This window comes from Homo sapiens, chromosome 7, assembly GCF_000001405.40.
Source record: "Homo sapiens chromosome 7, GRCh38.p14 Primary Assembly".
NCBI classification, from domain to species: Eukaryota; Metazoa; Chordata; class Mammalia; order Primates; family Hominidae; genus Homo; species Homo sapiens.
The window spans coordinates 98943046-98957102 of NC_000007.14; the positions used below are offsets into that span (position 1 = coordinate 98943046).

The following is a 14057-nucleotide window of genomic DNA, read 5'->3' on the forward strand; positions in this document are numbered from 1 at the left end:
GCACCAGCCGCCATGCTGGGTCAGTGCTAATGCCGGGACAGTGCTTTCATTAAAATGCCGGTCAGAAACCTAGTTTGACGTGATTGTAGTCCTTGTAAATTGTTAAACACATTTGATTGGTATTCTGTTTTGCCTATCTTTTCTCTTAATTGCTAAACATTCCTTTTTATGTTTCTTTAAAATCTCCCCTTTGGTTCACTTTAATATGACTCTTCTGTTGAGAATTCTGGGGGGCTTGAATGTTAGTATTTCAATTTTACCAGCTCTGCTTTAAACAGTGTATTTTCTAGCCTGTCCTTGGCAGCTGCTGTCTACATGGTGGTGCGTTCCTCAGCTATTGTTTCCATTGCTTTCCATCACGGGGTGGTCGGTAAATGTGTTTAATCATTATTGCCTGATAAAACCAACTGGTTTTTGGGACTGAAAGCTTTGAGGGGAATGTAAAAAGGAATCCCATAAATACTGGCACGTGTGTTTTCAAGGTCTGCGTCATCCACCCCAATTGTTTGCCCAGTTATATGACTGGCCCTTCAAAGCACATTTGTATGGTTTTAAAGGAAAACCGCTTCAGCTAAATCTTTTAAAGTGTCTATTGTGGGTCATTAAAGACTTTGTCTCTTAAGAATGCATGCTTTCTGCTGTTTTAAATCTAATATTATTTGTATATGTTTATTTTTTACAGTTTTTGTTTTTAACTTGCTGTCCTCGCAGTGGAATTGCCTTTTCCATGAGTTTCATAATCCCAGTGAAACATGACAGCAGTATTCCTATTAGGGACTTCCTTATAGTTCTTCAGAGGCATAATTAACGTGGCTTTTTGTCCTCGTGTGCCTTTGCTGGATGTGTTCCATCCTAACTTGGATTTTTCTTTTCTGGCTTTATTATGCTTTGTTTTGACCATTGTGTGTCAAGGTGTTTTGTTTATGTAAGTCTTGTTTCCTACTGCTTCTAAACAGCCAAGTAAGCAAAACTAAACCAGGATTTTTTTAAAGAAGTGATATGCCACGCATGACCCTGTTAAAGGTTTGCTGTTTATATATGTGGAAGAGAATCAGGAACTCTTCGTGGAGGAGAGCAGAGTATATTAATGAGCCCAGGCTCCTGGGATGAGGTGCAGGTGTCTGTGTGCTGCTCTCCCTCTCTCATCTGTTAGGTACTTTTGCTTTACATTTTATATTTGTTTTTATAGTAAGCTATTAATTTTCTGGAACTCAGTCAGTTCTAGAATAAACATTTAAAAAAAAACCTAGTGGGTAGATTCAACCTCATTTGAATCAAAAAGATTTAATATAAAGTCCTTAATGTAGCCTAGTAAAAAAAAATAAAATATTTCATAAAAGTTAGCAGATTATTTGGAGGTGGGGGTGCAGTTGTATAGGGGATGGAGTCGTGGATACTGGGAAGTCCTTGAGCTCCTCCTGGAACATTTTTATCCTGTGATTGTGTTACCTGACCATCCAGGGAGGGTCCAGCTCTGTGAGGTTGGCCGCTTGTCTGAAACTCAGAGGCTATGGTGTTTGGGGGCTTGTCTGAAACTCAGAGGCCATGGTGTTTGGGGGCCCAGAGACAACAGGGCCATGGCTTCATCACCTAAGCCTGGGGCCAGGCCACTGTTCAGCTCTTGAACTCTGACCATATTTTAATCTTGGAAAGTAGTTAGTTCCTGTTTGGTGGAATCCCCAAATGACAGTGTTCCGTTGAGACACTATAATTGAAGATATGCTAGATCGTTGACTAAAGAAATAAGTCAAAGCTGCCCTCGAGCATTTTTTTTTTTCTTTGAGACGGAGCCTCTGTCACCCAGCCTGGAGTGCAATAGCACAGTCTTGGCTCACTGGAGCCTCCACCTCCTGGGTTCAAGCTATTCTCCTGCCTCAGCCTCCCAAGTAGCTGGGATTACAGGCGCCTGACACCACATCCAGCTCATTTTTCTATGTTTAGTAGAGATGGGGTTTCACTTTGTTGGCCAGGCTGGTCTTGAACTCCTGACCTCAGGTGATCCACCTGCTTTCGCCTCCCAAAGTGCTGGGATTACAGGCGTGAGTGACAGTGGCCAGCCTGCCCTGAAGCTTTGGATACCCCTTTGATCAGAGTTCTGCCCCATCACTGTGTTTAGGAAGCTTCCCTTTTTAACCATGAGCTTGCAGGGGAGAACGCGTGACCACTTGTTATGTGTATGCACACATACATGCGTGCACACACACACCCACACAGAGCTAGTTTTAGGAAGACTGCTTACTTTACATGATAACCCAGCTGTCCATTGGGTGCGGTGATGGCCTAAACCACCTGGACCTCTTCTGACTGTAGCCGGGAAAGAGGTTTTTGTTATTTTTTATTATCTTAGCCCTTCATATAAAATTTGTTCACTCTACAAAAGACTTTTTAAAAATGTACTTGCATACAACAAGGTCTTCCAGTTTCTCCCCTTTCACAAGAATCCTGAAACCCTATTTTGAAAACGTGCTGTAGGGAAGAATTCCACTGTTAGACACTCTCTGTCAGATGGGCCGTGTTTTGACATCGAAGGTGAAAGTGTGCTTTTTGCTGTTGAGCATTTGTTAATTACTGTGTGCTTTCTGATAATTTGTGTCTTTACTGTCTTGTTAACCCCAATAACCCTTACTGTGTTTGAGTATGTGGGAAGTTTTTATGTAAATAACATAAATAGAAAAAAGATGATTTTCCTCCCCATCCTCAGGAAAGCATTTCCGAGTGCGGGAGATGTCCCTTGTCTCCATTCTGTCAGTTTGAGGTGAGAACAACCTATTAACAGTCAGTTTCTGACTTGCAATGTGAAGAAAAGTTTACCTTTTCTTTTCTTTTCTTTTCTTTTTACCTTTCTGTTGCCTTTTTTCATGCTGTAATTTTTGTTTTGGTTCAGCCTGCCATGGAAGGGGTAGAGGTGAGAACTTGAGCGGAGCTACAGGAGGGGGTTGTTGTCGTTGCTGGTTTTGCTGTGACTCGTTAGCTGTGTCGTGGTTCTGTACTGGACAGAGTGCGTTGTGCCCTTGAGTGCAGTGACCTGTATTGTCTGTCTGTGGCAGAGTTGTATCAGTATCATTGCTGTGAACTGTCTGATGCCAAGCATGTTTTCTATTAGGATGTTTTAAGCAAGACTCTTAAGTTCGTGTGAGAATTGCAATGTCTCAATTATATTCAAGATTGAATTAGATTTTGTGTTCGTAACCTCTATCTGAATACACATAGCTAGCAACCTCCTGAGAGGAAACTCACACAGAGTATATTGTGCCTGCTAGAAGTGGGAGGAATTACATGTTCTTTCACACTACTGACTGCCCTGAATTTAAAACCTTACAGCTTGTCCCACTCACCCACCCAGTCCCCTTCATCTCCCTCTTGCGTGCACACACACCACACATGCACACACACCGATGCACTCACAACACGCGTGCACACAGACCACACGTGCACTCACACCACACATGCACACACACCACACATGCACACACACCAGTGCACTCACAACATACATGCACTCACACCACACATGCACACACACCACACGCGCACACACCACATATGCACACAACACATATGCACACACACCACACATGCACACACACCACAATGCACTGACAACACACATGCACACACAACACACATGCACACATACCACACATGCACACACACACTGATGCACTCACAACATTGTGCAGCATTGCACACACCCCGAGCTTTCCCTCTTGTGTAAAATGGGGATGATGGCATCTGTTACTCCTGCCTCCCAGTGGTGTTGCAAAGACCCAAAGAAGTGGTTTCTGTGACAGTGCTTTGAAAATGAAAAAGCAGATTGTAAAAGTACCATTTTAGAATGTTATAATTTCAGGATAGAACTTACTCTTCCTAAGTCTTGCAGATTCTGGGGAAGAGAATTGTAGGGGGCATGGAGCTGGCCTTGAGCCCATTTTCCTCATTTTGTCTCCATCTCCTGCTTTGCCTTTTGGTGTAAAGAGAAATTCTGAAAAGTCTCTCAGGTGCTGCTGGGAGTGGGGCCCTTCCTGATCCGTGCTATCATCCCCTTCTTACCCCGAGGATCGCAGCGCGCACAGCGCAGCACGGCACATTGGAACGTGTCCCTCCCTTGTGGCCATGGAGAATTCCTTTGAATGACAGGAGCAAAACTGGAAAGTGAGAAGGGAAAGCTGGAGCAACAGCAGCCCACCCCTGAGCTGTGAGACAGTAGAACATGCAGCACCCTTGGCATTTCACACATCTTTGATTTAATTCAGCGGAGCAGTTTGTCAGCTTTATTTTTAGGCCTGGTTGACAAATACTTAGTACCAGGATCAGTTGTTTATATACATTGATATTTAATTTCCAGGGTAAATAGTTAATTTTTTGAAGAACTTTCTCTGCTAGGGTTTTTTTTGTTTGTGTGGTTTTTTTTTTCTTTTCTTTTTTTTTGAGACCGGGTCTCATTCTGTTGCCCAGGCTGGAGTGCAGTGGCACGATCTCAGCTCACTGTAACCTCCGCCTCCTGGGTTCAAGCAGTTCTCCTGCCTCAGCCTCTGGAGTAGCTGGGACTACAGGCGCCCGCCACCACGCTCGGCTAACTTTTGTATTTTTAGTAGAGACGGGGTTTCGCCATGTTGGCCAGGCTGGTCTCGAACTCCTGACCTCAGGTGATCCACCCGCCTCAGCCTCCCAAAGTGCTGGGATTACAGGCATGAGCTACCACACTGGCCACTGCTAGGTTTTGAGGGCAAAAGACATCTGTGCCCTTAGAACTTAGTGTGTTGAGAGGACCTCGTGATACCTTGGCAAAGTAGGGCATCCTCACACTGCTCTGGCCCCAGGTGGAATCATCCCTGCTTCTGTGAGGGGACTATTATGGCAGCCTGGTAAGGTCACCTTTACCACTTGTGAGCACGCATGACAGCAAACAGCACGATCACATCGGGTGTACACCGTCGGCCCCTCCACACCCCTACAATGGACAGGAATGCTGAAGGCCACGGGCAGTCAGTTTCCTTAGGACACAGCACAGTTAGAACCTAAGGCTAGTAAGTTGTGGCTTTTACATGTGAACCCTTCGCTTCACTGCCTAGCCTTGCCAACATAGTTAGACTATAGTAGGGTCTGTAGTGACGTTGACCTCTGTCACTTGCAAAATTAATCGACCTGTTTATAATTTCTGGTTTTCTTGATCAGGAAATGAAGATTTGCTCAGCAATTATAAACCTTTTTCATCTGATCCCGGCTGCTCCTCAGACACTGGTGAAGCCTTTGCTAGAGGTTGTCATGAAAACGGAGCGGGCGATGCTGATCGAGGTAAGGGCCATACTGAAGGCTGCTTCTCGCTCTGCCACCCTCCGGTGCTTATAGCGTCCTCACTTGATCGTATTTTCAATGGACGGAACAGCATAAAGACGTTCGATGTCAACATTTGCTTGTGGGTGTTCATGCACTCCAGTAACAAGGGACCTTGTTAGGTAGACAGCCTCAAGCTCTGAGAAGAGGAAGTTGTGAGATGCAGCATTCCCACATGTTTTGCAGGCGGGGAGTCCATTCCGAGAGCCCCTGATCAAGTTCCTGACTCGACATCCCTCGCAGACAGTGGAGCTGTTCATGATGGAAGCCACACTGAACGATCCCCAGTGGAGCAGAATGTTTATGGTAAGAGCTGTGAGCAGCTGGAGTCAGGGGTCCCTTCAAATGCTTGTGAGCTGTCGTGCTCTGAAATGTTCAGTTCATATTTCACTATTCAGTGTCCTGGCTGCTTTTTTTTCAGATCCATTTGAATATTGGAAACAGCATTGCTGTTTGGTTGTGTCTGTGAAATGTGCAGGTCTAGGAACCACTCTTTATAGGACTTTGGTGGTGGTAGCAAATAAATGTTCTGCCAGGATTATAAAATCATAAAGTATGATTATTATTTAAAAGTATTTTCTAAGGGCCCACACCTGTAATCCCAGCACTTCGGGAAACTGAGGCAGGTGGTTTACTTGAGCCCAGGAGTTTGAGACCAGCATGGGCAACAGAGTGAGACCTTGTCTTTACAAAAAATATGAAAATTAGCCGGGCACGGTGGCACATGCCTGTAGTCCCAGCTCCTCAGGAGCTTGAGGTGGGAGGATTGCTTGAGTTCGGAGTTGGAGGCTGCAGTGAGCTATGATTTTACCACTGCACTTCAGCCTGGGCAATAGACCCAAGACTCTGTCTCTTTTTAAAAAGAAAAAAAAAAAGCATCTTTTTAAAAAGCATGCGTGTGGTGCTTTTTTGGTAAGCCTTCTTTGAGAGATTTAGAAAGATTTTTAAAAGATTTAGAAAGATTTAACATTCATATCCTCTAACTTTCTGTGAGTTTGATTAGCTTAAAACGGCTTTTCTATTTGTTTTGCTTTCAGAGTTTTTTAAAACACAAAGACGCCAGACCTCTGCGGGATGTGCTGGCTGCCAACCCCAACAGGTTCATCACCCTGCTGCTGCCGGGGGGTGCCCAGACGGCTGTGCGCCCCGGTTCGCCCAGCACCAGCACCATGCGCCTGGACCTCCAGTTCCAGGCCATCAAGGTAGCGCCCCTTCCTCCAGCCCCCAATGCCCAGGGGTTTAATCGAGACACGGTTCCCTAATTATCTCTTCTTTGACAGATCATAAGCATTATAGTGAAAAACGATGACTCCTGGCTGGCCAGCCAGCACTCTCTGGTGAGCCAGTTGCGACGTGTGTGGGTGAGTGAGAACTTCCAAGAGAGGCACCGCAAGGAGAACATGGCAGCCACCAACTGGAAGGAGCCCAAGCTGCTGGCCTACTGCCTGCTGAACTACTGCAAGTGGGTGCCTCCTCCCGCCCTGCCCCGCGGGACTGGCTCTGTCCCAAAAGCTCAGCCAGAGCCTCCTTCTACTCTGTACAAGGCTGTGGTCATTGGATGCGTGCAGTCAGATTGGTTGTGGAGAATGGGCTGTGTCTCTGAGCTGTTTAAAGGCAAGTCAGAGGCGTAGTTGTTAATGAAATTTGCTCTAAGTTAACCTGTCTTCTTCTTTTGACCCTCCAGAAGGAATTACGGAGATATAGAATTGCTGTTCCAGCTGCTCCGAGCCTTTACTGGTCGTTTTCTCTGCAACATGACATTCTTAAAAGAGTATATGGAGGAAGAGATTCCCAAAAATTACAGCATCGCTCAGAAACGTGCCCTGTTCTTTCGCTTTGTAGACTTCAACGACCCCAACTTCGGAGATGAATTAAAAGCTAAAGTGAGTCCCACTCTTATGCTGTAGAAGGGTATGGGTATTTGGTCTGGTTTTCTAGGGAACTTTGGGCCCTTTTCTTTTTTTGCTGTGTCACTCTTGAATAAATAGTAGAGTGAGCCAGGTGCTGTGGCATGTGCCTGTAATCCCAGGTACTCAGGAGGCCACAGCGGGAGGATTGCTTGAGCTCAGGAGTTGGAGGCTGCACCGAGCTATAATCACACCACTGCATCCCAGCATGGGTGACACAATGAGACTCTGTCTCAAGAAAAAAATAAAATTAGTGGGCTGGGCTGTAGGTGAGAAAGTGCCGTTGCTCAGGAGCGTCAGGTGCATGCAGGAGTGACCCAGTGTTGAAGGGTGGTTTGTTAATTGCCTTGTTTTTAGAAAATGGCTTGTTTGACATGAAAAGAATAAACCAGGCTGACATCTCTTTTCCACAAGTTTTTAACCTACCTTTCTAGTTGCTCTTTGCATAGGAGTCAAGGTTGGTAGTCACACCCTGGGTTGAGTTCCAACTTGATGGTGTGCTAAGGCCAAGACTAGCTGTTCTTCCCGTCTTAAGAAACAAACAGCATGGCTTTGTTTTTCTCCTTCTTTATTTAAATTTTTTTTGTAGGTTCTGCAGCATATCTTGAATCCTGCTTTCTTGTACAGCTTTGAGAAGGGGGAAGGAGAGCAGCTCTTGGGACCTCCCAATCCAGAAGGAGATAACCCAGAAAGCATCACCAGTGTGTTTATTACCAAGGTGGTATCACTATGTGTGTGGGTGTGAGAAGTAGCCTGGCATGTGGATGAACATCTGTGTGTGTGTGTGTGTGTGTGTGTGTGTGTGTGTTAAGGGGGTTCATTGAAATAAGTTTGTTCCGCCAACACGTTTATTTTTCATGATTGTGTTAGTTTTTAGCAGACCGTCACCTTAACGATTCTTGTTAGTGAGTTTTTGAAGGCAGCCTTACTTTCGAATGAATTAACTTTCCCACATTAATAGATTTAGTCAGAAATGGAATAGATCTCAATGAAAATTCATATAGCAGTTATTTTGTGAAAACCCCTGTTGCCGGTCAGCAGAGTTTCTGTGTTCCATTTTCATCTTCAGTTTTACAAAAGACTCTCCTAACAGCCAGTGAGCATATGAGACTGCCTGCAGTAGCTGCTGTGACTCCTCCTTTTCCAGTGAATGAAACCCTGTGGTGGCCGTAGTCCAGTCTGAAATGAGCTCGGTTTTAATATCTCTGTGCTTTACAGTTTGTGTTAGAGAGGGCTTTTTGAATTAAATGCCTGCATCATGTTATTTCCCCAAGGTTTACTGTATTGATCTTCACTGTTAAAGGCCGTGTTTGCCCTGAGATTCTCACACTGAGTGTTTGTTGGAATGCTGAGTGATGGCGTTCCTCATCAGAAATACAGATTGCTGGTTTTCTTATCCATTTTGTCCTGAGATCAAGGCAGAGGGGACTGTTGTTTCCATTGGCAGATTCTTGGACCTTACATAGTCTTTGTCCTTTCAGCTGGGCCTCCTTCCTGAAGTGTTGACATTCCACCCTATGATCAGAGTGAGCCCAAGGGTTTATTCTTGGTCCCCGTACTGATATTTGCCTTATTCTGGGCAAGTGTAGGGAGATGGGGTCCAGACAGGACCCCTTCCCCTTTGTTACCTTCTCCAGGCTGTGTCTCCTGGGTCAGATGCTGCTGTGGGGATTTTGAACGTCAGGATGAGGAGAAAAGGAGCTGGCAGGCTGGAGGCTGTGGATGCAGGTGTGGGCCTGCCAAGAAGCAGTACATCTGGGGAAGAGAGGACCTTGGGGCTAAAAGGGACCTTGATAAAAACATGATTATAGTGGAAGACTTCAGTCTGTCTGTTTTTCAGAATTATTAAGACCTGGTAGACAGACAGCGGTTAGGATACTTAGTTGAATTGAATGATGCTGCCATTATACTTGATTTAATAGAGATGCGTAGAATATTCCTCAAAGAAGGCACATTTTTTTCTTATGTCAATGAAACACTTAAAAAATCTGTCAGATGCTTTCAAAACTGCAACAATTTTTTGAACGTAGACATTTTTCCAGGTCACATTTTCTGATCATAATGCAGAAAAATGAGGAGTAGACAAAAGTTGACCAGGAAAAAACATCTCAACTACTTGGAAATTAAGAAACTCAGTCCTAAATCACCTCGAATCAAAGAGGTCTTCTTTTCCACCTCACCCTCCTCCAGCCCCTGCATCCTGACTCTTAAGCCTGCCCTATTTTAAATGTTGAATTTGGTGAATTTCTAATCCATTTGTAAACCAAAAAGTATCTGAGACGGATCTCAATCAATTTAGAAATTTATTTTGCCAAAGTTAAGGATGTGTCCGGGAGAGACATTTGTGCCTTTCTCTAAAAATGGTTTTGAGGGCTTCAGTATTTGAAGGGGAAGAGTGGGCTGAAGGGGAACGGGGGAAGGTGTGGTCATCCACACGTTGCCAAAGAAGGGGACCAGGTAGGGGAAGAGTCAGTTCTGTGTTCATCTCATGCTCGGTAAGTCAGCACTTTACGTAAGATAAGGTGAACGTGGGGCCGTCACCTGTGCAGATCGTTAACCTTTCATCTGTAGCTCTCCTTAGGAACGAAAGGAGCCAGTTTCTTGCATGACTCAGCTTTCAGCTTAATTTTTTTCCACTGGGCAGAGCAAATTGGGGTCCTGGGGTTTTTTTCTCCTTTCACATATATGTGAAGGAAAATGGATAGGATGTTATTGATAACCTCCTTGTAAAACTTCATGTTACATTGTGTGTGTGTGTGTGTGTGTGTGTGTGTGTGTGTGTGTGTGTGTGTGTTTTTAAGGCTTAAACCTGTCGTATGACCCTCAGTCAGTAACCCAGTTCACAACTGGAAATGAGTCCTTCCTGCTGTCCCTGCACAGGTCCTGGACCCCGAGAAGCAGGCGGACATGCTGGACTCGCTGCGGATCTACCTGCTGCAGTACGCCACGCTGCTGGTGGAGCACGCCCCCCACCACATCCATGACAACAACAAGAACCGCAACAGCAAGCTGCGCCGCCTCATGACCTTCGCCTGGCCCTGCCTGCTCTCCAAGGCCTGCGTGGACCCAGCCTGCAAGTACAGCGGACACTTGCTCCTGGCGCACATTATCGCCAAATTCGCCATACACAAGAAGATCGTCCTGCAGGTATTTTGCAAGCCCCTCCTGTCCGCCGACATCAGCGTGAATCTCACATGGTGCACTTGGCTCCCTGGTGCAGTCTCAGCCTCTCCTGTTGTCTTCTCCCAAAACCAATAAAAACCATGAAAACACAGACACTGTATGATTCCACTTAGAAGACCATAGGGCACTCAAATTCAGAGAGACAGAAAGTAGAATAGAGATTGCGGGGGTTGGGGAGAGGGGGTGGGGAGCGAGTATTGAATGGTGCGGAGTTTCTGCCTGGGAAGATGCAAACATTCCGGAGATGATGGGGCTCATGGCTGCACACAGTGTGAAGGTGCCGAGCGCCACTGGGCTGTGCACCCAAAAATGGGTAAGATGGTACATTCTGTGTTATGTGTGCTTTACCACAGTGAAAGGAAATTTGTGGGGAAAACACCCCACACTGTGAGCCCTCCCATGACTGTCCACGTTCTCCCTTCCTCCCCCATTCCCACTCTGCTCTCTCGTTCCTCAACAGCTTTGCTTTTAAAAGGAAAGGTCACCCTTTTCCATCTCAAGCTTCTCTGTCCATTGCATTCTGGCTTCTGACTCTGACATTCCATGGCAGATGTTATAATATTCAAGGGCCCCAGCCCACTTCTCTTAGCCAAAGACAATAGGTACTTTTGGATCCGTATCTCATGAGCTTGTTGCTGTGCAGCTGGTATTGAGCGCCTCTTCCTGGAGTACCTCGGTGGTTTGGGCTCTGAGGTTGGGCACCCCGGGTTTGAGGCTGGTATTGAGCGCTTCTTCCTGGAGTCCCTCAGTGGTTTGGGCTCTGAGGTTGGGCACCCCGGGTTTGAGTGTTGTTTCTTCCGCTCACACGGTCCATGCCCTTTGGCAAGTTAATGTCTCCGTGTGAGAATTAAATGTAATACTCCACTCGAGCATGCGGCATTATTTAATCACTGATAGTTCTTCTGTGAGACCGTCTTTGACAGCTTTCCCCTGACATCTTTCTCTTGTGAACCTCTGTGGTGTTGAACTCTGCACCCCAATCAAGCCAGAGGTCTCTCACATCCCCTCCCATGGGTCGTTGAGCTAGAACTCCAGCCTCGGGGCTGCCCTGCCCTCCCCCAGTTGTCTCAGACACAAACACTCGAGAACTCTGTGACCTTCTCTGCTCCTCCCCACTGCCCAGGCACCAGCAGGTTCTGCAGCTTCTAACACCCACCCCGTCCCCTCTACCCTCAGAACTGGTCTTCTCTGTGTTCCCATGACCTCACATCGGGGCCTCACCTCTCACTTGAGTGACTGCAGCTGCCGCTTCTCAGCGCCTCTCTTGTTGGCCCTGTTCACTTTATTTCCCATCCTGCAGTCGGAGGGAGATGAGCCATGTACCTCCCTAACTCGCTGCTGGTTAGGCGGGACATGGGATCCCTGCAGGGAGCTTGGTCTTACCTGTCTGCATGTCCTGGCCTAGTTCAGCACGGGCACGTAGTAGGTGCATTATAAATACTAGAATGAATGTATTCATTGGTCAAAACTTAACAGAAAGCAACTAAGTTGTTTCCTAATAAGAAAGTCCTAAGAAGTTTTTAAAAAATTGTTTTGGAAAAGTAGCATGTCTTGACACCAAGGGATTGTCTTCTTATTTCTTAAAGCCTTCCTTCTCATCCTCCATAAACGTCTCTTCCCTGTTTTAGGTTTTTCATAGTCTCCTCAAGGCTCACGCAATGGAAGCTCGAGCGATCGTCAGACAGGCGATGGCCATTCTGACCCCGGCGGTGCCGGCCAGGATGGAGGACGGGCACCAGATGCTGACCCACTGGACCCGGAAGATCATTGTGGAGGAGGGGCACACCGTCCCGCAGCTGGTCCACATTCTGCACCTGATAGTGCAACACTTCAAGGTGTGTAGGAGGGACGGTGGGCTGCGGGGCGCGCGTCTTCAGGCATTCACTTTGAACCTTTACCTTGTCTTGTTCTGCAATAATCAGGTGGTCGTTCATCTTTTAGTAAGGCTACTTCTGGTTCATTGATTAGTTTGTGTATGTGTGTATGGCTTTATCAGCATGGAAATTGCTGTAATATAGAGAATATGTCACAGGTGTGTGTGTCTTTGCGTCTGAGGCTACATTTCTGTTGTAAGTACTGTGCCCAGTTAACCCTTGTATGCTGCTAAGTTTGCACCTTAAGGTGGGAGATAGTCCTCATTGACTCTAGATTTCCATCACCTGCCTTGGAAAGTTATTCATGTTGCTGGCACCTCCTTCTCTGGCCAAATTACCCTTTTTGTGGGATTTATTTATATGTAAATGTTTCTTGTAGATTTGGGGTAGAAGAGAAAGGATTGAGTTGAAAGCAAATTCTTTTATAGTCACCTCTTAGAGGAACTTTGCTTTTGGGTATGTCTTAAACTTTTACAATGTCAAGTTCTGAAGTTTGATACATGTGATTAGACTCACCTTCCTGTCTGAAGAGAATTTGATTTTTCAAGACTGAAGTATACTATTGTAATGGGATGTAATGGGATGTAGTTGGGGTGGGGGAGGGTGATAAACACATACATAAGGCAGTGAGAATTTCCTCGCTCAGGTTAGGATTCAGAATTCTTGAGCATCAAGTTGGGCTGTGTGTGTATGTTGGGGCTGAGAGGCATGTCGGGGGTGTGTGTGTGCACGTGCGCACACGTGCATGCACTGTGGGACCAAGCTCCCATGTTCCGGCGTGATGCTGGCCCTGCGTCCGCAGGTGTACTACCCGGTACGGCACCACTTGGTGCAGCACATGGTGAGCGCCATGCAGAGGCTGGGCTTCACGCCCAGTGTCACCATCGAGCAGAGGCGGCTGGCCGTGGACCTGTCTGAAGTCGTCATCAAGTGGGAGCTGCAGAGGATCAAGGACCAGCAGGTAGGGGTGTCAGCCTCAGGGGTGCCCCGATCGTCTTCCTTTGACTTCTCCCTAGAAATCAGTCAGTAAAACCAAGCGCCTGTGTGTTTTTAAGCCGGATTCAGATATGGACCCAAATTCCAGTGGAGAAGGAGTCAATTCTGTCTCATCCTCCATTAAGAGAGGCCTGTCCGTGGATTCTGCCCAGGAAGTGAAACGCTTTAGGACGGCCACCGGAGCCATCAGTGCAGTAAGATCATGTGCCTCTGTATGGGTGCTGCGCATTCTGCTGGGAGTTGGTTCGTTTATTCCCTATATTTAGAATGTGAGCTCGGTGCTCAGCTGCATTCAGGAGAGGAAGCTGGGAACAGCCACGGTCACCAGATTGAAACTCCAGGACATGTCACTCATGCAAGGGGTTCCCAGGTCACCAGACATGCTTGCCTCATGCGTTCAGTTCATACCATTAAAGTTCTGTTGATGATGGTTGATTACTTGCAGAAAGGCATCTAGAGAAACTCTTTGAAGTAAGGAGTTGATTAAGAACATGTGCCCATACTGAGATCAGTTTCTGAGAAGGACATGTGTTCTGTTTCACGAGGCAGCCACCAAGAGGGTCCTGGGTATTGCCCCTTGTGGAGTGGTGGCCCTAGGAGCCCTGAGTCTGACCCCAGCTGGTGTCATGGACCTGCTGGCTTGTGGACGCAGGCCTGGCCACCCTACTTCTGGCTTCGTAGGCCTGAGGCTGAGCTCTTCTCCCACCCTCACCATCCCCCATCTTATGTGGCACCCATGTCTGCCCTCGGCTTCTATTAGAAA

At 46.6% G+C, this 14057-nt stretch overlaps 1 protein-coding gene across 3 annotated transcripts in view, besides 1 other annotated feature; it reads left to right on the forward strand.

The window, feature by feature from the left end:
- Positions 1–14057, forward strand: part of TRRAP (transformation/transcription domain associated protein) — a 134710-nt gene that overhangs the window by 64514 nt on the left and 56139 nt on the right. The window contains exons 32-43 of one of the 3 annotated variants that reach the window (NM_001375524.1): positions 2702–2755; positions 2885–2905; positions 5176–5295; positions 5521–5640; positions 6372–6536; positions 6615–6796; positions 7019–7217; positions 7831–7959; positions 10122–10388; positions 12053–12259; positions 13101–13259; positions 13354–13488. In NM_001375524.1, the coding sequence (NP_001362453.1) occupies positions 2702–2755; positions 2885–2905; positions 5176–5295; positions 5521–5640; positions 6372–6536; positions 6615–6796; positions 7019–7217; positions 7831–7959; positions 10122–10388; positions 12053–12259; positions 13101–13259; positions 13354–13488 (1758 nt within the window). The remainder of the gene's footprint in view (positions 1–2701; positions 2756–2884; positions 2906–5175; positions 5296–5520; positions 5641–6371; positions 6537–6614; positions 6797–7018; positions 7218–7830; positions 7960–10121; positions 10389–12052; positions 12260–13100; positions 13260–13353; positions 13489–14057) is intronic. The other 2 variants (NM_001244580.2, NM_003496.4) reach the window with 2 other exon arrangements.
- Positions 6577–7776: an enhancer, noted in NCBI's record as "MED14-independent group 3 enhancer chr7:98547245-98548444 (GRCh37/hg19 assembly coordinates)". NCBI's record gives its function as "activates an origin of replication core promoter dependent on BRD2, BRD4, P300/CBP and CDK7 cofactors, and independent of MED14, by STARR-seq in HCT116 cells {active_cell/tissue: HCT116}" and the evidence as "EXISTENCE:reporter gene assay evidence [ECO:0000049][PMID:35650434]".